The sequence below is a fragment of the Homo sapiens genome, chromosome 8, assembly GCF_000001405.40.
Source record: "Homo sapiens chromosome 8, GRCh38.p14 Primary Assembly".
NCBI classification, from domain to species: Eukaryota; Metazoa; Chordata; class Mammalia; order Primates; family Hominidae; genus Homo; species Homo sapiens.
In genome coordinates this window covers 46640069-46665737 of record NC_000008.11, presented here as the reverse complement: position 1 = coordinate 46665737, position 25669 = coordinate 46640069, and the positions used below count along the sequence as shown (strand labels likewise).

At 43.8% G+C, this 25669-nt stretch overlaps 1 long non-coding RNA gene across 7 annotated transcripts; it reads right to left on the bottom strand.

Moving 5' to 3' along the window:
• Positions 1–9193: 9193 nt before the first annotated feature.
• On the bottom strand, positions 9194–24398 carry LOC105375811 (uncharacterized). 7 transcript variants are annotated; one of them, XR_928829.2, is made up of 5 exons: positions 24205–24398; positions 19089–19135; positions 14525–14654; positions 13096–13277; positions 9194–10117 (listed from the first exon to the last, which is right to left on the bottom strand). It is a non-coding gene; the product is annotated as an uncharacterized LOC105375811 (long non-coding RNA). The 7 variants fall into 7 exon arrangements; XR_928828.2 differs by adding an exon at positions 23881–24169 and having other exon boundaries at positions 13096–14654; positions 24279–24398; XR_928827.2 differs by having other exon boundaries at positions 13096–14654.
• Positions 24399–25669: the final 1271 nt, after the last annotated feature.

Genomic DNA, 25669 nt, shown 5'->3' with positions numbered 1-25669 from the left:
CTCCTGGGTTCAAGCGATTTTCCTCCCTCAGCCTCCTGAGTACCTGGGATTATAGGCACCTGCCACCACGCCCAGCTAATTATTTGTATTTTTAGTAGAGATGGGTTTCACCATGTTGGCCAGGATGGTCTCAAACTGACCTCAGGTGATCCACCTGCCTCAGCCTCCCAATGTGCTGGGATTACAGGTGTGAGCCACTGCACCCTGCCTACAGTTTGTTTTTGTATGTTAGAGAGACATAACATACATCAATCAATATGTGTAAGATTTACATTGGTTTGATCTGGAAGGGTCAGACAACTTGAAGTGGTGAGGGGAGGGGAGGTTCAAGGTCATAAGCAGATTTTTTTTTTTGAGACAGAGTTTTTCTCTTGTTGCCAAGACTGCAGTGCAATGGCACAATCTTGGCTCACTGCTTCCTCTGCCTACCAGGTTCAAGTGATTCTCCTGCCTCAGCATCCCCAGTAGCTGGGATTACAGGTATGTGCCATCACGCCTGGCTAATTTTTTATTTTTAGTAGAGACAGGGTTTCTCCATATTGGTCAGGCTGGTCTTGAACTCCCAACCTCAGGTAATCTGCCCACCTCAGCCTCCCAAAGTGCTGGAATTACAGGTGTGAGCTACCTCGCCTGTCATGGTCATAAGTAGATTTTTAAATATTCTGATTGGCATTCAGTTGAAAGAATTATTATCAATAGAAAGGAAAGTCTGGGTTACAATAAGGGGTTCTGGAGACCAAGGTTTTATCATGCAGATGAAGCCTCCAAGTAGCAGGCTTCAGAGAGAATAGATTGTAAATGTTTCTTATCAGATTTAAGGTCTGTGTTGATGTTAATGCAGATCAGTTTTTCCTAAATTCCAAAAAGGAGGAGGGTGTAATGAGGCATGTCTGACCTGAACTAGTTTTTCAGGTTAACTTTAAAATGCCCTTGGTTGAAAGGAGGGGTCCATTCAGATGGTTGGGAAGGCTTAGAATTTTGTTTTTGGTTTACAGGTGTGAAGTCTTATATCATTGTGGTTTTTTGTTTGTTTGTTTTGAGACAGGGTCTTACTCTGTCACCCAGGCTGGAGTGTGGTGGCCTGATCTCTGCCCCCAGGTTCAAGCGATTCTCCCACCTTAGCCTCCCACATAGCTGGGATTATAGGCATGTGCCACCATACCCAGCTAATTTTTGTATCTTTATTTTTATGTTTTTAGACTGAGTCTCACTCTGTCTGTGAGGCTGGAGTACAGTGGCGCAATCTTGGCTCACTGGAACTGCCACCTCCCAGGTTCAAATGATTCTCCTGCCTCAGCCTCCCAAGTAGCTGGGACTACAGACATGCACCACCACACCAGACTAATTTTTGCATTTTCTTAGTAGAGACGGTGTTTCACCATTTTGGCCAGGCTGGTCTCAAACTCCTGACCTCAGGTGATCCACCCACCTTGGCCTCCCAAAGCACTGGGATTACAGGCGTGAGCCACCATGCCCAGCCAATTTTTTTTATTTTTAGTAGAGGTGGGGTTTCACCATGTTGGCCAGGCTGGTCTCAAACTCCTGATCTCAGGAGATCTGCCCTGAGTGCTAGGATTACAGGTGTGAGCCACTGCACCTGGCCCCTATAAAAGTTTTGAAAAAACTTAAGGAGAAAAATTTCAGTACCTGGCACTGGTGAAAAATTCTTAGACTTGACAATAAAGACAATACATACAAGAAAAAAACTGGTAAATTAAATATCACCAAGACTTAAAAATTAAAAATATTTGCACATGAAAATTCTGTGTAAAGGGTGAAAAGACAGGCTACAGACTGGGGGAAATATTTTCAAACCACACATTTAACGCTGAACTTGAATCTAGATTACATAAATAACTTTTTGAAAACTAAAAAGTAGCCTGGAATTTGAGATTGCAGTGAGCTAGGATTGTGCCACTGCACTCCAGCCTTGGCAACAGAGAAAGACCGTGTCTCTAAAAAATTACAGAGCTGCTGGGAGAGCTGGCTAACCATATGCAGAAAATCGAAAATGGATGCCTTCCTTACACCATACACAAAAATCCATGCAAGATGGGTTACAGACTTAAATGTAAAACCCAAAGCTATAAAAACCCTAGAAGAAAACCTAGGCAATACCATTCAAGACATGGACATGGGCAAAGATTTCAGAACATAGAGGCCAGAGCAATTGCAACAAAAGTACTAATTGACAAATGGGATCGAATTAAACTAAAGAGCCTCTGCACAGTAAAAGAAATTATTAACATAATAAATAGAAAACCTAGACAATGGAAGAAAATTTTTGAAATCTATACATCTAACAAATGTCTGATATCCAGAATCTATAAGGACCTTAAACAACTGTACAAGAAAAAAACAAGACCATTAAAAAATGGGCAAAGGACATGAGCAGACACCTCTCAAAAGAAGGCACACAAGCACCCAGCAAATATATAGAAAAATGCCCAGCATCACTAATCATCAGAGAAATGCAAATCAAAACCACAATGAGATACCATCTCACACCAGTCAAAATAATGATTATTAAAAAGTCAAAAAACAACAGATGCTGGTGATGTTGTGGAGAAAAAGGAATACTTTTACACTGTTGGTGGGAGTGTAAATTAGTTCAGCCGTTGTGGAAGACAGTGTGATGATTCCTCAAAGATCTAGAGGCAGGAATACCATTTGACCCAGCAATCCCGTTGCTGGGTATATACTCGGAGGAATATAAATGATTCTATTGTAAAGATACATGCACTTGTATGATCACTGCAGCACTATTCACAATAACAGAATTAGCCTAAATGCCCATCAATAATAGATTGGATAAAGAAGATTTGGTATAGATATACCATGGAATACTACGCAGCCATAAAAAGGAACAAGATCATGTCCTTTGCAGGGACATGGATGGAGCTGGAAGCCATCATCTTCAGCAAACTAACACAGTAACAGAAAATCAAATACCATGTGTTCTCACTTACAAGTGTGAGCTGAATGATGAGAACATATGGACACATGGTGGGGAACAACACACACTGGGTCCTGTCAGAGGGTGGGAGGTGGGAGGAGGGAGAGCATCAGGAAGAACAGCTAATGGATGCTGGGCTGAATACCTAGGTAATGGGATGATCTGTGCAGCAAAACGCTGTGGCACACATTTACCTATAAAACAAACCTGCACATCCTGCACATGTACTTAAAATAAAAGTTGGAAATATAAAAAAAAAATTACAGAGCTGGCCATGAATGCAAATAGCTTCAAGAGGGCTCACATGTCCATTTAAAAACCTGCAGCAACACTGCACAGCCAAAAATGAATAATAAAATCACACAGAAAGAATTGCTGGGGAGATTGACATATCTGAGATGTCTGAGGGTGGCTAGGAACAAAGAAGGGCAGAAGCTATCAGTATCAGCCACAAATTGGGTTCCACCAGAACAGTGGCCTCTTCTGCAGAGGACACCAGCGTTGCCATTGAAGTAACTAAAAGCCATTGCCACCGCACAACTCCTGGAGAGAAAGCTGCTACTGTTCCCACCAGAAACCCACTGTCATACCACCCTGGCTGGAGTCATCAACACCCACAACCCTAACCATCTCCATACTAGAGATAAAGATGCCCCCTGTGTGCCCGCACTCCAGTCTCAAGCTCTGTGGCTGCACCATGCATACCCACAACCAAGGCATCAAAACTACAACCACAGCTGGCTAGCCCTACCCCAGCTCATGAAAGCATGGCCATTCTGCATATCTGTGCTCCAGAGTTCAGTTCCACCACTGCTCCATGAGTGCCCACCGTCTCAGACATCAGAACCACCTCTACAGTGAGCTAGCCTGCACTGTGGACCCTGGACTCATTGTCACTCCATGCACGCCTATGTTTTCTTTTTTGGATTCTTTTCTTTTTCTTTTCTTTTCTTTTTTCTTTTTTGGATGCAGAGTCTCACTCTGTCACCTAGGCTAGAGTGCTGTGGTGCAATCTTGACTTTGTACAACCTCCACCTCCCGGTTTCAAGAGATTCATGTGCCTCAGCCTCCCTAGTAGCTGGGATTATAGGCGTTTGTGACCCATGCCTGGCTATTTTTTTTGTATTTTTAGTAGAGATGGGGTTTCACCATATTGGCCAGACTGGTCTCGAACTCCTGACCTCAGGCGATCCGCCTGCCTCAGCCTCCCAAAGTGCTGGGACTACAGGTGTGAGCTACCATGCCTGGCCTTGCCTATGTTCTAGACCCCAGCTCTTCAGATACTCCATAAGTACATGTACAATTGACACTGGAGTTATCTGCTACAGCTGGTGTGTGTCTGCACTACAGTCCCAAGAGAAGCAGTAACTCTGTGCATGCCTGTGTTCCAGATCCTGTTTCCATATCCACTCTGTGAGCACCTACGCTTCACACACTTTTTTTTTGTTTTGACAGACTCTCACTCTGTCACCCAGACTGAAGTCCAGTGGCGTGTTCTTGGCTCACTGCAACCTCTGCTTCCCAGGTTCAAAGCAATTCTCCTTCTTCGGTCTCTCGAGTTGCTGGGATTACACGTGTGCACAACCATGCCCAGTTAATTTTTTTGTATTTTTAGTAGAGACGGGATTTCACCATGTTGGCCAGGTTGGTCTTGAACTCCTGACCTCATGTGATCTGCCTGCCTCAGCCTCCCAAAGTGCTGGGATTACAGGTGTGAGCTGTCACACCCAGCCCACACATTATTACCAATACAGCAACAAGGCCATTTGCACCTTGGGCACTGATGCCACTGCCATTATTACATACAGGTGTAAGTTAACCACAGTCATTTTTAGTCTCTTGTAGTCTACCAGTAGCTTTTTGTCTGACTCTGAAAGCACTTGTCATCAGCTACAGGCTGTGGCACTTCATCTTAAACAAAGAAGCACTATTGGCCAGGTATCATGGCTCATGCTTGTAATCCCAGCACTTTGGGAAGCTGAGGCTGGATGGATAACCTGAGGTCAGGAGTTTGAGACCAGCCTGACCAACATGGCGAAACCCCGTCTCTACTAAAACTACAAAAATTAGCCAGATGTGGTGGCACACACCTGTAATCCCAGCTACTTGGGAGGCTGAGGCAGGAGAATTGCTTGAGCCCAGGAGGCATAGGTTGCAGTGAGCCGAGATCATGCCACTGCACTCCCGCCTGTGTGACAGAGCAAGACACCATCTCAAAAAAAAAAAAAATGCATTGTCTCAGAGCTCAATGGAAAAGGATTATACCAGGTACTTTGGGGTACCAGCTTCTGACAGCATCACTTAAACAAATTTGAGACCCTACCAGTAAACCGAGTCACAAATTCCAGAATTCTAGTTAAGAAGCAGATTGGTTCTGCAGTCTACTAAATTCAAGATAGAGCTGAAGAAGAATTAATTACACAGTAATGAGTGAGCTGATGAGGAATGACTTTTGGACTATTGCTGATGTTCTAATGTTCTAGTTTTTGCATATATAAGAAACCTCCTTTTTCTCTTAAGATATCTATGACATATAAAAATTTAATAGTCTATGATTTTGTAAATAGAAGTGAAACATTTATTTTTCTTATCTTATTTTCCCTGCCTGGCTTCTCCAGAAATTGAAAACTCTTATTTTCATGGCCTTATAATTATCCGCATAGGTTCAATAAAAATCTATACGTGGCCAGATGTGGTGGCTCATACCTGTTTCCCAGCACTTTGGGAGGCTGAGGTGGGTTGATCACGAGGTCAGGAGGTCGAGACCAGCCTGGCCAACATAGTGAAACCCCATCTCTACTAAAAATACAGAAAATTAGCCAGGTGAGGTGGCAGGCGCCTGTAGTCCTAGCTACTCAGGAGGCTGAGGCAGGAGAATCACTTGAATCAGGGAGGTGGAAGTTGCAGCGAGCTGAGATCACGCCACTGCACACCAGCCTGGGCAGCAGTGTGAGACTCCGTCTCAAAAAATATATAAAAATAAAAAAAAAATAAAGAATCTGTACTCATTGTTACCACAGCATAGTTGGAAACTTCAGTTATTCTTAAATTTGACGTTATGGAGCCAATGTTTACTAGCTCAGTTTCTGGGTTATAGGATTCAGAGCTCGGCAGACAAAATAATGCCCATCACCCCCAAAGATGATCACATCTAAATCCCCAGAACCTATGAGTATTTTATCTTACCTGGCAAAAGACAGTTTGCAGATATGATTAAGGTTAAAGATCTTGAGCTGGGGAGATTATGATTAAGGTTAAAGATCTTGACTTGGGTAGCCTACACGGATACCATTGTTAGCAGATCCAGGCAAGCCAATTCTTGGCCCACAGGTGGCTTGCTTGAGCACAGACAGTGGCAGTGGTGGCCCAAGCAGGTGGGCAGGTCCTCGGGTCCCTGGGCAGCATGCTTGACATTGGCAGTAGAGGGGGTGAGCCAACCCTTGAGCTCACTGGCAGCAATCACTGGTGTTAGCTGCAGTGACAATGAGCTGGACAGGCACTCTGTAGGCCCCCAGGTGGCATGTGAGGGTGAGCGCCCACAGTGGGAGTGGTGGCAGGGTAGGCAGGCCTGTCTTCTGTCCCCTGATAGAAGTGCATAGATGCCAGAGGGGGTAGGCGTGGGAAGGCAATCCCCAGGCCCTTGGAAAGTGCACTTGGGCACAGGGGCAATGGCATCAGCTGTTGCAGGCCATTCCTCAGGCCCTGCTATGGTGCCCATGGGTGCAGACTATGGTGTGTGGGGCAGTGTGATCCCCGGGCTCTGGGACTGCATGCTCCAGCACCATCTGCAGGCCAGCCGGGTCAATTGTCAGACCTACTGATGGTGTGCACGTGTGCCCAGGGCAATAGATGGGTAAGCAACCCCTAGGTGGCCCCCAAGATGGTCTTCGGGTGGTGTGCTTGGGTGGCAACAGCTGCAGCTGTGGTAGGCAAATAGAGCCTGTCTTCTGAGCCTGGGATGGTATCTGTGCCTGCTGGTACCCCGGCTGTATGCTGTATGCTTTATGAAGTATGCAGCAGTTCTGTTGCAGGGGGTTGGGGAGCAGCGTTGCTGTCAGTGGCAGCACCCCCAGAAGCCAGCTTGGAGCGCATGCTTCAGCTGCCTGTGTCCCAAAGGCAGCCTCCCTCATTCCCTGAAGTGTAGTACACCGTATCGGCTACAGTATGGGCTACAGTGCTGGGGATCTGGCTGCACAGTTGGGTCCAGCTGGTGTTGCATCACTGCAGCTGTCCAGGAGGACATGAAGGGGATGTCAGTGGGGCTCCAGGGATGTGGAGGCCCCGGAGCTTTTGGGCCCTGGGGCAGGATGCAGTCTGGCAAGTGCTTGCTCTCAAAATGGTGCCCTTGGAGGCTGGGCATGGTGACCCACACCTGTAATCCCAGCACTTTGGGAGGCCAAGGCAGGTGGATCACTTGAGGTCAGGAGTTCAAGACCAGCCTGGCCAACATGGTGAAGCCCTATCTCTACTAAAAAAAAAAAAAATACAAAATTAGCCAACCATGGTGGTGGGTGCCTGTAATCCCAGCTACTCAGGAGCCTGAGGCAGGAGAATTGCTTGGACCAAGGAAGCAGAGATTCCAGTGAGCTGAGATTGTGCCACTGCACTTCAGCCTGGGCAACAGAGCAAGACTCCATCTCAAAAAAGAAAAAAATAAAAACAACTCTTCAGTAGTTTTGGGCTTTCTGGGGGAGTGTTGGGGATTCTGAGAGACAGTCTTACTGGGATTACAGGCACAGGACACCACACCTGGCTAATTTTATTATTTTTAGTAGAGACACGGTCTCATCATGTTGGCCATGCTGGTTTCAAACTCCTGGGCTAAGGCAATCCTCCTGCCTTGGCCTCCCATAGTGCTGAAATTACAGGCATGAGCCACCACACCTGGCCTCTGTTTAGTATTTTTAATTAACATGCAGTTACTATATAACCCAGAAATTACATTCCTAACTATCTATTCAATGTAAATGAAAGCATATGTCCACAAAAAGACATATAAGAATGTTAATAGCACCTTAATCAAAATAGCCTAAAAATAGAAACAACATGTCCAAGAAGAGGGTGATAAACAATCTGTGGTGTATTTATTCAAAGAATACTAGTCAGCAATGGAGAAGCAGTTACTTATACATGAAACAAAGTGGATGAATCTCAAAGTCAAGATACTGAGTAGAAAAAGCCAGACACAAAATTGTCTGTACTTTTTTATTTCATTCATGTGAAACTTAAGAATAGGCAAAGTTATTCCAGGGCAAGAGGAATTTGAACAGTGTTTTTCATTAGGATGAGAAAACCTACTTGAAAGGGGCCTGAGGAAACTTTCTGGATTTAAATGTTGGTAAAACTCATTAAAATCTCTGCATTTTCCTGTGTACATAATGTGTTGATTTTAAAATGATGTTACACAAAGATAAAGAATAATTTGCTTAACATATTACTTCTCAGAAACTCAGCAGCGCTTTTTGTAATCTGTTAATCTGTTTTCTCTTTTCTTTTTTTTTTTTTACATGGAGTTTTACTCTTTTATCCCAGGCTGGAGTGCAACGGCACGATCTCGGCTCACTGCAACCTCCGCCTCCCAGGTTCAAGTGATTCTCCTGCCTTAACCTCCCAAGTAGCTGGGATTACAGGCTTGCGCCACTACGCCCGGCTAATTCTGTATTTTTAATAGAGATGGGGTTTCACCATGTTGGCCAGGCTGGTCTTGAACTCCTGACCTCAGGTGATCTGCCCGCCTCGGCCTCCCAAAGTGCTGGGATTACAGGTGTGAGCCACCACACACAGCCTAAGCCTGCTTCTTTTCTTTCTTTTATTAAAAAGATTATTTATTATAGTTGAAGTTCTGGGATACATACACAGAACCTGCAGGTTTCTTATATAGGTATACAAGTGCCATGGTGGTTTGCTGCACCCATCAACCCGTCATCTACATCAGGTATTTCTCCTAATGCTATCTCTCCTCTAGCCCTTAAACCCCCAAAAGGCCCCAGTGTGTGATGTTTCCCTTCTTGTCTCCATGTGTTCTCCTTGTTCAACTCCCACTTATGAGTGAGAACATGTGGTGTTTGGTTTTCAGTTCCTACCTGGTCCAACCCACAGACACTGACCGAGTGACAGATGAAGAAATGCACTCAGACACAGATATCCAGTGAAACAGCGAGCTAACAGACCAGGCAGCTTACATACACTGAGGAGGGTGCCATAAAGAGTCAGCAGCCATGGCCCTGACATGCTGGCACTGCAGGCATTTATTCAGTATAAATTTAATAACAAAGGCTTTGAGTTAACACACTTGTGGATAATTAACATAGTCGCCCTCCCTGGAGAGCAGTCCTGCAGATGATTAAAGGCCAGGTTCCAAGGCCTAAGTAAACTAACTTACCTAGATCAGTTTCTTTATATCCCCTTGTTATCTAACTTAAGCTTTAAGGCACAGGATAAGAGAATCTGGCTGCCTTCAGCCAAATCCTATTCTGAAGCTTTTGTAAAACCTTCCAGCCTTCCAAGGTTTCATCTTTCTACAATTTTTCCCACCACCCTGACCAATCTCCTACATCTCCCCTCTTTTCTGTTTTTAGCATCAGGTTTTGTTAATTGGAGAGTACAGATATGTGCAGCAAGAGGTCTGTCAGGTGTGGTGGTCACTGCTTGTATTCTGGCTTTTCATCCTAGAATTAGTAAATAACATAAGACAAACATGAGTATTATTAGCAACATTATTTTCCAATCAAGGAGTGACCTGGTACCTTAGTCTGATGTGTGCCATTGCTACGGAACCCCACTGAAGGTATATTAATCCCTTTTAGCCAAGCCGTCACGTTGTTAGAAGCTGGGAAGTGGGTGTTTGTCTAAGTAACAGGGCAGAAGAAAGATGGATTTAAGAGATGAGCCCAATAGAGTGTAGCAGGTACCAGTTGTAGGCAGAGTGAGAGAATAAAAATGGAACAAATTATTTGGAGTGACAGGTATTTCGGCTTGGAGCAGGATTTGCTAAGCCTTCTGCTTCTTCAGCATAATGTCTGGGGCCTGTGTTGTCCAAGGAAGCCACAGCGTCCAGGGCTGTGGGTCCTGTAGGGTCATTTTCTTCATTTCTGGTACCAGGTTGGGTCCTAGCCATGTCATGGTACGGTTCGATGCATCATGCTGGAATTCAAAGAGAACCTGAGGGGGTGTGAACATAAGCATATCCTCTTCAATTCATTTGGCCCACACCATATATTACTGTTTACATCTTTCCAAAAAACTGCGAGTTTTATGTCTTAGAGGTTTTAGCAAAGTGCTTTTCAAAAACTGATTGAAATTTATCATCTAAATTTTAAAAAATTAAGGGTAAATAAGGCTTGTGCCAATAGTGTTGCAGAGTCCTTACTCATAGTCCCCTGTTTTTGTTTACTGAGAATATTTTTAAGGGTGGAGTGGACCCGTTCTACTATGGCCTGTCCTTGAGAGCTATACGGGATGCCTGTGGAATGTTGGATATTCCACGTGTGACAAAATTATTGAAATTGTGGGCTGGCATCAGCCAGACCATTATTAGTTTTAATTTTTGTGGGCTGCTCCATAAATGCAAAAGTTAGAAGAAGATGTTTAATGACATACAGGGTGAACTCTCCAGGAAGAGCTTGAGTGCTGTATTAAATGAGAATTGGTATCAACAGATACATGTACATATTTAGCCTTTCCAAATTCAGGGATGTGTGTAAAATCCATTTGCCATAAATGATTAGGTTCTAGTCCTCTAGGGTTAACACTTGTTGAAGGAGGGGATGTGCCTGTGAGCTGGCAATCTGGGCATTGTAGGATAATTTGTTTAGCTAGTCTTTGGGTAAGTTGAAATTGTTTAGATAATTTTCTCCAGTTTTGGTGGAAAAATTGATGTGATTGGGTAGCTTGGTCAAGCAGTGATGTCATAACCTGTCGGTCTGCTTGATCATTGCCATAAGCCAATGGGCCAGGCAGTGAGCTGTGGCCCTGAATGTGTGTAATAAAAATAGGATGTGTGCAATAAAAATAGGATGTGTGCATTGATCTAGCAATTTGCTGAAGTCGGAGAAAAGTGCACACAGGGTGGGCTCCAGAGTGGACTTAATGAGGGCTGTTTCAAGGTTCTGCAATAAATAGAGTAAGCAGAGTCACTAACAGTATTAACGGGCTGAGGGGAAAAAGTTTCCAAGGCAAAATATTAAGGCTCCAACCTCAGCTCTCTGAGTGCTAGTAAATCCAGAACGAGTGAGGGAATTACGTGGTCTCTACCAAACCGCTGCTTTTCCATGTTTACCAGAGACATTACTAAACAGTATTAAAAGGTAGGCTGGGCACAGTGGCTCACACCTGTGATCCCAGCACTTTGGGAGGCCGGGCGGGCAGATCACGAGGTCAGGAGATTGAGACCATCCTGGCTAACACGGTGAAACCCTGTCTCTACTAAAAATACAAAAAAAAAAAGCCTGGCGTGGTGGTGGGCGCCTGTGGTCCCAGCTACTCAGGAGGCTGAGGCAGGAGAATGGCGTAAACCCGGGAGATGGAGCTTGCAGTAAGCGGAGATCGCGCCACTGCACTCCAGCCTGGGCGACAGAGCGAGACCCCGTCTCAAAAAAAAAAAACTTTAGTTGTGGTGGATTGAACTATTTTTGTAGGCTAAACCACAGAAGTACAAGATAAGAACTTAAGGAGTTTGACAGCAGGGAGGGCATGCTCTGTATGGCCTGTGTAATCAGAGACTGCCATTTGCAGGTCCATAGATAAGGGCATCACTACTTCAAATTGCTTTTTACTTAAAGGAATTATGATGATATCAGGGTCAGATTGCATAATCCATGGCCTGAATAGATGACTTTACTGACTAACTGGATATAGGGAGAGAGTGTTTTAGTCCCAGTATGTGAGCAAAAAACCCATTCTAGAAAGCATAGCTCTGGGACCATCTGTCCTGTTAATCATGTAGGAGCGTGTTTAGTGGGAAAAATAAACAATTGAACTGAATACCACGGATCTATGCGATCTAGTTTCCTATGAGAAATAGTTTGCTCTATCTCTTCAATTTCCCTTTGTGCTGCAGGAGTTAAATGCCTAGGAGAATCTAGGGTAGCTTTGCCTTTTAAGACAGAAAACAGGTTCTGTACCTTATCAGTAGTTATGCCTAAGGTGGGGAAAAGCCAGTTAATATCACCTAGTAATTTCTGATAATCATTTAAGGTGTATAAGTTGCTGGTATTTAACCTTTTGAGGTCTTACTGATCGAGAAGTTAGTATGTACCCAAGATATTTCCAAGGAGAAGACATCTGTACTTTTTCAGGTGCTATGATTAAACTTCTTAACTGTGTATTCTTTACTACAGAGGCATGTAACTTTAAAAGTACTGGCTCTGTTGGGGCTGCTAGTAAAATATCATCCATAAAATGAATAATCTTGCAATTAAGAAATTATTTTCTACTGGGTAGCAAAGCCTGATTTACATGATACTGACACATGGTAGAACTGTTCAGCATTCTTTGAGGAAGCACTTTCTAATGAAATTGGTGAGCTGGCCTTTCATTATTGATAGCTGGTATTGTAAATGCAAATTTTTCTCTGTCCTCTTCTGCTAGGGGAATATTACAAAAGCAGTCTTTTAAGTTAATAACGATTATAGGCCAATCTCAAGGAATCACTGTGGGGGAGGGGAGTCCTTGCTGAAGGGGCCCCGAAACTTGCAAATTAGCATTAATGGTACATAAGTCATACAAAAGTCTCCATTTACCAGACTTTTTGGGAATGATGAAAATGGGTGAATTCCAAGGGCTGTTTGGTGGTTCTATATGGCTGGCTTTTAATTGCTCCTCAACTAACTCTTGGGCTCTTTGTAATTTCCCTACCTTTAAAGGCTACTGTTCTACCCAAATAGGATTTTGAGAGAGCCACAAGAGGGGTAGAGGAGGAAAAACAGTGGCCGTTATTAGAAAGAGGTTTGCTGTTGACATAATTCATCAATTTCTGCCCTCCAGAAGAGGTATTGACTGGTGTTTAAAGTTGTTTTAGTGAGCACTGACCAGTCCGTGGAGTCATACGGGAGTTATTTGCTATAGCTTTAATTAATCCTTTTTGTAAATGGGCTAGCAGCTTTGTTATCTTTAATGCTTTTCCTTATCTCTTTATGTACCTGATTGCCTTGTTGATCTTGCATTACCGGACAGGGTAAGAGCTCCCCTTCTAATGCCACTTGCCAAAGACAGGGTCCCATAGCTGTAGTGTATCCCTTGTCTTTTATTCAGTCTATTGGAGGAGCAGGCTCAGGCACAACCTCCATTTCCTCTTTGTTATTTTGGCCCAGTGATGGCGGGGCTGAGGGATAAGGAGGCAGTAAGGTAGGTGATGGTTCTTCCTCCCTTCCCTGTCTAGGCTCTTCTGTGTAGAGCAGGACCAGAACTGTTCTAAAGCCCATAACGTTAAAGATGTTACTGGGACCCATTGCCCTTGCACATGATGTTGTTTAAGATTTCTCCGCACCTGTTCCCAGAGCTCTACATCTAGCATACCTTCTTCCAGGAACCATGGGTTATGGGATACAACAGTTTGCATTAGGTCCCTTAATTGAGCTTGTGAAACCGAGGCTCCACTAGCTTTAAGCAGCTGTTTCAATACTTTTATATACTGCTTCTATTGTGCTGATAACTGCTGTCCCATGATGAAACCCCAGCCTGAACAATGCCCTCGAACTTGGAAATCCTGAGCGGGCACCAAAGACTGACTTACTGACTGTGCAGTCTATTTACCTTCATTTTTGAGAGTTCTGTGGTGATTTGTTGCAGTGTTCCTCACATGGGGCACCACCTTCTGGGTCTGACCCACAGACCCTGGCTGAACGACGTATGAAGGAATGCACTCAGACACAGGTATCCAGTGAAAGAGCACGCTAGGGGACCAGGCCACTTACAGACCCTGAGGAGGGTGCTGTAAAGAGTCAGCAGCCACAGCCCTCACAAGCTGGCACTGTGGGCATTTATGCAGTATAGATTTAATGACAAAGGCCTTGAGTCATCACACTTGGGGATAGTTAACATGGTTGCCCTCCCTGAAGAGAGCAGTTTTGCCAATGATTAAAGGCCAGGTTCCGAGGCCTAAGTAAACTAACTTATCTAGATCAGTTTCTTAACATCCCCTTGTTATCTAACTTAAGCTTTCAGGCACCGGATAAGAGAATCTGCCTGCTTCAAGCCAAATCCTATTCTGAAGGTTTTGTATAAAAACTTCTGGCCTTCAAAGAAGATTTGCATCTTTCTGCAGTTTTTTCCACCACCCTGACCAATCTCCTACACCGAGGCAGGAGAGGAGAGTTACATTACCTAGAAGCTAGTGTTAGTGATATTTCAAAATGTCATCTGGGGGCAGGGCACAGGCTGGAGAGACATATCACCTAGCTGTTAGGTCCAGAGATATGTGATAGTATCCCGTTGCAGGGCTCAGGCAGAAGAGTCACATTATTATAATTCTAATCCAGCAATATGACACTATCCCACATGTGGAAAAAACCCAGTCAAGTTATGAGAGCCAAAACATGTACATAACCAGCCCAAGATATTTCAAAATACCTTCGGTGGCTCCAGCACAGGCAGAAGAGTCACATCATAAGGGTGCTGGGCCCAGCAATATGAAATGTGCCATAATTTTCTTTTTATGAAGAACCCGGGCAGAAGAGTAATATCATCCGGGTGCTGTGCCCTGCAATGGTCAAAAGAGCTTTTTTTGTGGGAAAGGTTTGGAAAAAAGAGTAGAGTCACATATCCTGAGTGCTGGGCTCAGCAATGTGTCAAAATCCTCCTATGGTGAAGGCCCAGGCAGAAAAACAGTCACATCATTTAGGTCATGGGCTCAGAGATATGTTGCAATGACCCCAGTAGGCAGGGATCAGGCAGATGAAGAGAGTCATATCACCCAGATGCTTCCCTAGGAATATGTCACAATGTAACATGTGGGCAGAAATCAGGCAGAAGAGCCACAACACTTGGGTGCTGGGTCCTGAGATATGTCACAAGGCTCTCTTAGGACAACACCCAGCAAAAAGAGTTACAACACCTAGGTGCTGGCTCCTGAGACATGTCACAATGCCCTCCTTTGGGCATGGCTCTGGCAAAAGAGTACCCTCGACTGTGTGTCTGTACTTGCAAGATGTCACTACCCTTCCTTTGTGCAGGGCCCATTACAGAGAGGAGAGTTACAAAACCTATAAGGTGAACACAGAAATATGTCACGATAATTTTGGTGGGCATGGTGCAGGCAAGAATGTAACATCACCTGGGTGCTAGATCCAGTATTATGTCACATACAATCCTTACTGAGAGAAGGGCCCAGGCAGGAGAGTCACATGGCTACGAGGTTGTCCTAGGTGGATATCACAATCCCATATATGGGCTTGAACAAATCTGGAGAGTCAAATTACACAGATGCTTGGCAAAGATTTGTGTCACTATCACACTGTCAGAAAACTCCATAGGTGAGATTTACAATACCACACATGTCCTGTTTTCAGGTGTGATAGTTGTCTTCATCCATGTGAGATGATGACAGTTCTTACTGTCAGCTAGATGTTCATACAAGGCTCACAATTTCACCCGTGTGGTGAGCCCTGCTTTGACCCTGTATAATCCAAAGACTTTGTAAAATATTTGTGAGTGTTATAATCTTTTGTGACCTTTGTACAAGAAGGTGATGCAGGACATCATGCATGTCTCTAAACCTAGTTATAAGAGTCATAATATCCTCTATTGGCTGAGTCCACATATGAGAGCCATTATCATTCCTGTGAGCCATGCCTAGGTATATGTTACAATTCCCTCTGTAGTTACGAAGCAGGCAGAACAGCCACATCACCTAAATGCTAGACCGGAAATATTCCAATATTCTCTTTGTAGGCATGGTCCTGTCAGAAACATCACATAACTTGTGTGCTAGGTTCAGCTCTGTGACACAATATCCCGTGTGGGCAGTGTCCAGGCAGAGAGGAGAGTCATATCGCCTAAATGATGGGCCCAAAAATATGTCACAATGCTGCCTGTTGACAGGGCCCAGGCAAGAGAGTCATATCATTTGGTGCAGTGTTTAGAAATGTTACATTTACCAAAGGAAGAAGGGTACAGGCGAAAGAGGATAGCCATGTAACCTAGATAATGGGTCCAGCAATATGTTACAACCCCTCCTGAGGACATTGTTGAGATAGCACCATCAAATCATCAAGGTGCTTGGCCCAGATATTTGTCAAAATCTGATTTGTGGGTTATACTTAGGGAGAATTATTAAATCACTCAAGAGCTGGGCAAAGGTTTATGTCGAAATTACACTTGTGCAAAGTTTTAAGAATAAGAGTCACCATCCTGAACATGTCCTGGCTCTAGGCATAAGTTGTTATTAGGCTTTTGTTATGGTCTCAGGTATATGGCACAATATCACCTGTGGCCAGAGACAAGGCCATAAAGTCACATCACCCACGTGGGTGCAGGTCCAGTGAGATGTCACAACCCACCTTGTGGGCAGGACCCTGGCAGAAGAGTTACATTACCTGGATGTTGGTTTCAGTGACATGACAAATTCCTATGTGGGCAGAACTTTGGAAAGAGAGGAGACTCACTTCACCTAGGCAATTGGCCTAGGTATATGTGACAATGTCTCTTCTGCCCAGTACCAAAGCTGGAGACTGACCTCACATTGGTGCTGGACCCAGCAATATGTCACAATCTCCCCGTGGTCAGGGCACAGGCAAAGGCAAACAAACATCACCTAGATGTTGAGCCAAGTGATATGTTTCAGTGCTTTCTTTTGGCAGAACCCAAAAAGAAGAATCACATCACCTGGGTGCAGCGCCCAGTTTTGTGTCACAATGCACTGTAAGTGCAGGGCCAAGGCAACAGAAGGGACTCATATCACTTACATGACAGAACTAGATAGAAGACATAATTTTCTTTTTTTTTTCTTTCTTTCTTTCTTTCTTTCTTTCTTTCTTTCTTTCTTTCTTTCTTTCTTTTTCTTTCTTTCTTTTTTCTTTCATTCCTTCTTTCTCCTTTCTTTCTTTCTTTTTCTCTTTCTTTTCTCTTTCTTTCTTTCTTTCTTTCTTTCTTTCTTTCTTTCTTTCTTTCTTTCTCTTTCTTTCTTTCTTTCTCTTTCTTTCTTTCTGTCAGAAAATTCCATAGGTGAGATTTACAATACCACACATGTCCTGTTTTCAGGTGTGACAGTTGTCTTCATCCGTGTGAGATGATGACAGTTCCTACTGTCAGCTAGGTGTTCATACAAGGCTCACAATTTCACCTGTGTGGTGAGCCCTGCTTTGACCTTGTGTAACCCAAAGACTTTATAAAATATTTGTGAGTGTTATAATCTTTTGTGACCTCTGTACAAGAGTAAGTTCTAGGGTACATATACACAACGTGCGGGTTTGTTACATATGTATACATGTGCCATGTTGGTGTGCTGTACCCGTTAACTCCTTATTTACATTAGGTATATCTCCTAATGCTATCCCTCCTCCCTCCCCCCACCCCATGACAGGCCCCAGTGTGTGATATTCCCCACCCTGTGTCCAAGTGTTCACACTGTTCATTTCCCACCTATGAGTGAGAACATGTGGTGTTTGGTCTTCTGTCATTGCAATAGTTTGCTCAGAATGATGGTTTCCAGCTTTATCCATATCCCTACAAAGGACATGAACTCATCCTTTTTTATGGCTGCATAGTATTCTATGGTGTATATGTGCCACATTTTCTTAATCCAGCCTATCATTGATGGACATTTGGGTTGGTTCCAAGTCTTTGCTATTGTGAATAGTGCCACAATAAACATACGTGTGCATGTGTCTTTATGGCAGCCTGATTCTTAATCCTTTGGGTATATGCCCAGTAATGGGATGGCTGTGTCAAATGGTATTTCTAGTTCTAGATCCTTGAGGAATCACCACATTGTCTTCCACAATGGTTGAATTAGTTTACAGTCCCACCAACAGTGTAAAAGCTTTCCTATTTCTCCACATCCTCTCCAGCACCTGCTGTTTCCTGACTTTTTAATGATCGTCATTCTAACTGGTGTGAGATAGTATCTCACTGTGGTTTTGATTTGCTTTTCTCTGATGGCCAGTGATTAGCATTTTTTCATGTGTCTGTTGGCTGCATAAATGTAAAAGACATAATTTTCTTTTTAGGAAGGTTTTTTGCAGATAATTCCTATCACCTCGGTGATGGGTCCAGTGATATATGAAAGTGCTCTTTGTAGGCAAAGCCATGAAAGTGTTATATATTGCTTAGGTGCTTGTTCCAAACATGGCACAATTAAATCTATGGTCTGGGCCTAGAAAAGAGAGTCAAATTATTCATGTGCTGGGCAAAGTTACCTGTCCCAATCACACTCTGAAAAGTTCAGAAATAAGTTTCACATCCGACATGAGTCCTGGTTTCGTGTATGTGAGTCAACATTTTCTATGAGTTGGGTCGAAGTAGAGGAGTCACAGTCTCCACAATGGGCAAGTTCCATGTATAAGATGCCCAAACACACTTGAAGATTGTGTTCCATTAAGGGAGTCACAGCACCACAGGTGTGCTGAATCACGGTTCAAATGTTACCAAACCACCTGTGAATCAGATCCATGTATGAGAGAAATTATTTCAACCTTCGACTGCCTTTTATGTGTGAGATTTAGTACCTCATTCCAAGGCCCTGTTTATGTATGAAAATGACAATCACGTAAGCTAGGTGTGCATATAAAAGTCACACTCTCACCTCACTGCTGGTCTCTGTTATGACACTCTTTGTAATATTTACATATTTATATGATATACCTGAGTGTTATAATCCTTCGTGAACTTTATACAAGTGAATAACCCAGGACTTTACCCATGGCCTTGAGACAGGCTATGAGCATCAAAATATCTCTACTGGCTGGGTCCAGGTATGAGAGTTATTGTTGCACATGTGTGATTAACCCAGGTATATGTCACAATTTCACCTGTGAGCAGGGACAAGGCAGGAGAGTCACATCACCTGAGATTATACAGTATAATCTCATTTGTAGGCTGGGCCTAGTCAGAAGAGTCATATAACCTGGGTACAGCCTCAAACAGTATGTCACCAAGCCCCCCACAGACAAGAAGAAAAAGAGGAAAGTCACTCTACCTGGGTGCTGGGCTCTGCAGTATGTAATAATCCCCTTTTGGCAGAGTCTAGAAAATGAAAGAGAGTCACATCACCTAGGTTTTGCAGTCAGCGATATGTCACAATTTCTTTGGTGAGCAGGACCCAGGCAGGAGAGGAGAGTCACATGACCTAGATGTTAAGTCATGATATTTCACAATGTCGCAATGTCCTCTGGGGACAGGGCAGAGGCAGAAGAGACAAATTACCTAGCTAATAGGTCCAGAGATATGTGATAAAATCTCTCATTGGCAGTGTCCAGGCAGAAGAGTCACATTATTATGATTCTAACCCAGCGATATGCCACAATGCACCAATGGGAAAAAAATTTGAACCAAAAAGTCTCAACACCTGGGTGCTAGGCCTAATAATAGGCCAAATCTCCTTGTCTTTGAGGTTGACAACATTAACTGTGAGCTGGGTGTATATATGAGTCACAATCTCCCATGTTTCCTGGGCTGCTGTATGACACTCTAAAACATTCAAAAGCTTTATACAGCATACAGAAGAGTTGAAAACCACTCTGAGGCCTTCATGCTCATATGGATTCAAGATCTTACATATTGCCTTAAACCCAGGTATAATAGTCAACGTGTCTTTTGTAGGCTGGGTTCATGGTTGAGACCCATCATTATGCCTATGAGCTAGATCCAGAAATGAGTCACCACCCCACCTGTGGCCAGATCCACATATGAAGATCACAATTCCAACTTTTTACTGTACTCACTTGTTAGACTCAGGACCTTAACAGTGGGCTTTTGACATGTGGGATGGTGACAACATTTGCATTCACCTGGGAGTGTAATTGAGAGTCCCAGTCTGAACTTTTTGCTGGTCCCTGTCATGAAACTCTCTGTACCACCCAAGGAGTTTCTACATTATGAGTTAGTGTTGTAAAGTTCTGTAAGCTTGGTACAAATATGCAACCCAGGACCTTACCTATTGCCCTAAGCCTGGTGATGAAAGACAAAATATCTCCTGTTGGCTGAATCCCAGCATAAGTTTGACCATCATGCTTGTGAACTGTAGTAAGGTATATGTCATAGTCCCACTTGTGGGCAAAAATCTAGGCAGGAGGGTAACATCAGTTAGGTGCTGTGCCAAGCAACATGTCACAATGCCCTCTCTAGGCAGGGTATAAGAATTAGTGTCACGTTAACTAGGTGCTGCACTCAGCAATCGGACTCCATCCTACATGTGGAAAAAACCTAGCCAAGGGATGAGAGCCAAAACACCTACATAATGTGCCCAGGATATGTCAAAATACCTTTTGTGGTGTTGGGACAGGTATGAGATTCACATTATCAGGATGCTGGGCCCAGCAATATGCCATAATTCCTTCTATATGCAGGACCCACACAAAAGGGTAACATTATCTGGGTGCTGGGCCCTGCAATAGGTCAATATTTCTGTTCGTGGGCATGGTTTGAGAAAAAAAAGAGAGTCAAATAACCTGAGTGTTGGGCTTAGCAATATGGCACAATAACCCATTTTAAAGACCAAGCAGAAGAAGAGAGTCACTTCACTTAGGTCATGGGCTCAGTGATACATGCCAGTGTCCCCAGTAGGGAGGGCCAAGGCAGAAAAGGAGAGTCATATCACCTAGGTGCTTCCCTAGTTATATGTCACAATTTAACATGTGGGCAGAAACCAGACAGAAGGGCCACCTTACCTGGGTACAGCCTGAAGTAATGTGTCACCATGACCATTGTAGACAGGTTTGAAGAAGAAAAAGAGAATCACACCAGCTGGGTACTGGGCTCAGCAATACATAATAATTTCCTCTCTTGGCAGAGTTTAGGACAAAGAGAGTCATGTCACCTAGGTTTTCCACTCAGTGGTATTTCATAGTATTTTTAGTGGGCATGATCCAGGCAGGAGAGGAGAGTCACATTATCTAGATGCTATATCTAGCGATATGTCACAGTTTCCCCTGTGAGCAGGACACAGGGAGGAGAGACATATCACATAGCCTGTAGGCCCAGAGATACCTGAAAATATCCCGTTTGCAGGGCCCAGGCAGAAGAGTCTAATTATCGTGATTCTGACCCAGTGATATGTTAATAATGCCCTTATGGAAAGGAATTTAAACCAAAAAGTCTAAACACCGGGGTACTAGTCCGAAGGATATGACACAATCTTCTCATTAAAGGTGACACCATTAACTGTTAGCTAGTTGTGTATATGAGAGTCACAATCTCACATGTGTGCTGGCCATTGTATGATGCTTTCTACAACATCTGAGAACTTTATAAAACATGCATGGGAGCCGCAAACCTCTCTGAGGCCTACATGCTTATATGGACTCATGATCTTACATATTGTCCTAAACCCAGGTATGACGGTCAACAATTCTCTATAGGCTGGATTCAGGGATAAGATCACTATTATGCCTATGAGCTGGGTCCAGAAATGAGTCAGCATCGCACCTGTGGCCAGGTTCACTTATGAAAGTCACAATTCCAATTTTGTGCTGTATTCATTTGTTAGACTCAGGACTTCAACAATGGACTTTGTAAATGTAGGATGGTAACAACTTTTACTATCACTGGAGTGTGTAGTCAAGAGTAACAATCTTAACTTTTTGCTGGGCCCTGTTATGAAACTTTCTGTACCACCCAAGAAGTTTTTATGATATGAGTTATTGTTGTAACTTCTGTGAGCTTTGTACAAATACGGAATGAAGGACCTTATCTATTGACCTAAACCTACTGGTGAGAGGCAAAATATCTCCTATTGTCTGAATCCCAAAATAAGTTTGATCATCATGCCTTTGAACTGAAGCAAGTTATATGTCATAATCCCATTTGTGGCAAAAAAACAAGGCAGAAGGTTAACATTACTTAGGTGCTGTGCCAAGCAATATGTCACCATGCCCTCTCTAGGCAGGGCGTAGGAAAGAGGCTCACCTTAACTGATGGCCTGAGCCAGCAATATGATAAAACCATACGTGGAAGAAACCCAGCAAAATGATGAGAGCAAAAACAGCTACAGAATGGGCCAACAACATGTCAAAATACATTCTGTGGCTCTGGCACAAGCAGGAGAGTCACATCATTAGGATTCTTGGCCGAGAAAGGTGCTATAATTTCCTTTTTATGCATGACCTGGCAGAAGAGTGACATCATCCATGTGCTGGGCCCTGAAATATGGCAAAAGTGCTGTTCATAGGCATTGTTGAGCAACAAGACAAGAGTCACATGACCCAAATTATGGGCTCATCAATATGTCACAATCTTCCCATTGTAAAGGCCCAGACAGAAGAGAATCACATTACTTAGGCTATTGGCTCACAGATATTGTCCAATGTCACCAGTAGGCTGGGCTCAGGCAGAAAAAGAGAATCATATCACCTAGGTGCTTCTTTAGGTATATGTCAAAATTTAATATGTGGGCAGAAACCAGGCTGAAGAGCCACATCATTTGATCGTGGGTCCTGAGATATTCACAAGTCCCCCTTAGAAAATGACCCAGGCAAGAGAGTTACATCACCTAAGTTCAGGTTCCACCCTTATGTCACAATGCTCCATGTGGGCAGGGCCAAGCAGGAAGTCACATCACCTAGGTGATAGGCCCAGAGATATGTCACAAAGCCTTCCTTAAAGCATGGCCCTGGCAAAAGAGTACCATCACCTTTGTGGCTGGCTTAGCCATATGTCACTATTCAAGTGGGCATGTCCCAAGCAGAAGAGCCATATCACCTACATGATAGGCCCTGTGATATGTTAAAATGCCCTCTTCTGTGCATGGCTCTGGCAAAAGAGTATCATCACCTGTGTGCCTGGCCTAGGAATATGTCACTAACCTGCCCTGTGTGCAGGGCCCATTCCAGAGAGGAAAGTTACATCTTCTAATTGATGGACACAGTGATATGTTACAATGATATCTGTGAGCATGGTGCAGGCAGAATGTAATGTCACCTGGGTGCTGGATCTAGTGATGTCACAATTCTTACTGAGAGCAGGGCCCAGGCAGAAGAGTCACATCACTTCGAAGTTGACCCAGGTGGATATCAAAATGCCATACGTAGGCTGGAACCAGTCTGAAGAGTGAAATCACACAGGTGCTTAGCAAAAATTTATATCACAGTCACGATGCAATAAAGTTCTAGGGATTAGATTTACAAAACCACACATGTCCTGTTTTCATGTATGACATTTGCCTTTATCCATCCGTGATTGTGAAAGTCCTTACTGTCAGCTGGGTGTGCATACGATACAATTTCCTCTGTGTGCTAGGCCCTGTTATGACACTCCCTATACAACCCAAGGATGTTATAAAATATGTGTGAGTGTTGTAAGCTTCTGTGATCTTTTTGTCAGAAGGAGATCCTGGACATCACTCATGTCCCTAATCCTAGTTATAAGAGTCAAAATTTCTCCCATTAGTGGGGTCCACATATGAGAGTCATTATCATGCCTGTACCTAGGTATATGTCATGATCCCCTCTGTGGTTATTAAATAGGCATGACAAATATATCACCTAAATCCTAAGCAAGAAATAATCAAATATTCCCTTTGTAGGCAGGGCCCTAACAGAAAAGTCACAAAACTTGGGTGCTAGGCCCAGCTCAATGGCATAATGTCCCCTGTGGGGAGCGTCCAGGCAGGAGATGAGAGTCATATCATCTAAATGATGGGCCTAGATATATGTCACAATGCCTCCTGTTTAAAGGGCTCAGGCAAGAGTGTCATGTGATTTGAATGCAGTGCTTAGAAATGCTACACTCTTCACTGGAAGCAGGGTACAGGCAGGAGAGGAGAGTCACATTACCTAGACAATGGGTCCAGAGAAATGTTATGATCCCTTCTGAGGAGGCTGCTAAGAGAGGAGGGTCAAATCAGCAAGGTTCTTGGCCCAGGTATATGTCAAAATGTCATCTATATGCTGTAACTAGGCAGGATTATTAAATCACTCAGGAGTTGGGCAAAGGTATATGTCACAATAACACCTATGGAAAGGTTCAGGGATGAGAGTCACCATCCTGCACATGTCCTGGCTCCAGGTACAAGAGTTGTTATTAGGTCTTTGATATGGTCTCAGGTACATGGCAAAATATCACCTGTGGGCAGAGAGAAGAAAGGAAAGTCACATCACCTGAGTGGGTGCTGGTCCAGTGAAATGTCACAATCCTCCTTGTGGGCAGGACTCTGGAAGAAGAGTCACATCACCTGGAGGCTTGTTTCGGTGATACATCTAAATCCCCGCTGTAGAAAGGGCTTAGGCAAGAGAGGAGACAAACTTCACCTAGGCAATTGGCATGGCTATATGTCACAATGGCCCCTGCATGCAGGACCAAGGTAAGAGAGTGACCTCACCTTGGTGCTGGGTTCAACAATATGTCACAATCTCTCTCATGGTTAGGGCCCAGGCAAGAGAGAAGAAACATCACCTAGTTGCTGAGACAAGTGATATGTTACAAAGCTTCCTATTGGCAGAATCACTCCCCCACAAAAAAGAATCACATCTCCTGGGTGCAGTACCAAGTTACGTGTCACAGTGCACCATAAGTGCAGGGCCAAGGCAGTAGAAGGAAGTCACATCACTTATGTGATGGACCTAGATAAGACACAATGCTGTTTGTAGGCAGGGTTCAGGTCAAGATTTCACATTAGCTGGGTGCTGGTCCCAGTGATATGTAAAAGTGCACTTTGTCGCATTGCCAAAGAAGGTGTTACACATCACTTAGGTGCTTGGTGCACATATGTCACAATTTCAACTCTGAGCCTAGAAAGGAGAGTCAAAACACTCAGATGCTCGGCAAAGTCATACTTCTCAATCACACACTCAAAAATGTTCAGAAATAAGTTTCACAGTCCCACACAAGACCTGGCTTCAGGTATGAGAGTCAACACCTCCTATGAGTTGGGTCAAAACACAGGAGTCACAATCTCAACAATGGGAAAAATTCATGTATAAGAGCCCCAATCCCACTTGAAGATTGTGTTCCAGTAGGAGAGTCAAAGCCCAACAGGTTGGCTGAATCATGGCTCAAACATCACCAAACCACCTGTGGATCAGATTTATGTATGAGAGTAACAATTTCAAGTGTGAACTGCTTATATGCATGAGATTTAGCACCTCATTCATAGGCTCTGTTCATGTGTGAGAATGACAATCGTATAAGCTGGGTGTGCATCCAAGAGTCACAACAGTACCTGGTTTCTGGTGCATTTTATGACACTCTTCATACCACTCAGGCTTTATATGATATGCCTGAGTAGCATACTTTTCTGTGAATTCTTACAGGTGGGATATCTAGGACTTTACCCATGGTCATAGGACTGCCTGTGAGTTGAAATATCTCCCTGGCTGAGTCTATGTATGAGAGTTATTATTGTGCATATGAGCTGAATCCAGGTGTATGTCACAATTTCACTTTTGCATAGAGAAAAGACAGAAGAGTCACATCATCTGGGTGCTGAGCCAGGAATATATTATAATCTCCTCTGTAGACAGGACCCAGGCAGAAGAGTCGTATCACCTGGGTACAGTCTCAAATAATATGTCATCATGCCCAATGAAAACAGGGTTGAAAAAATAGTGGATAGTCACACCCCGC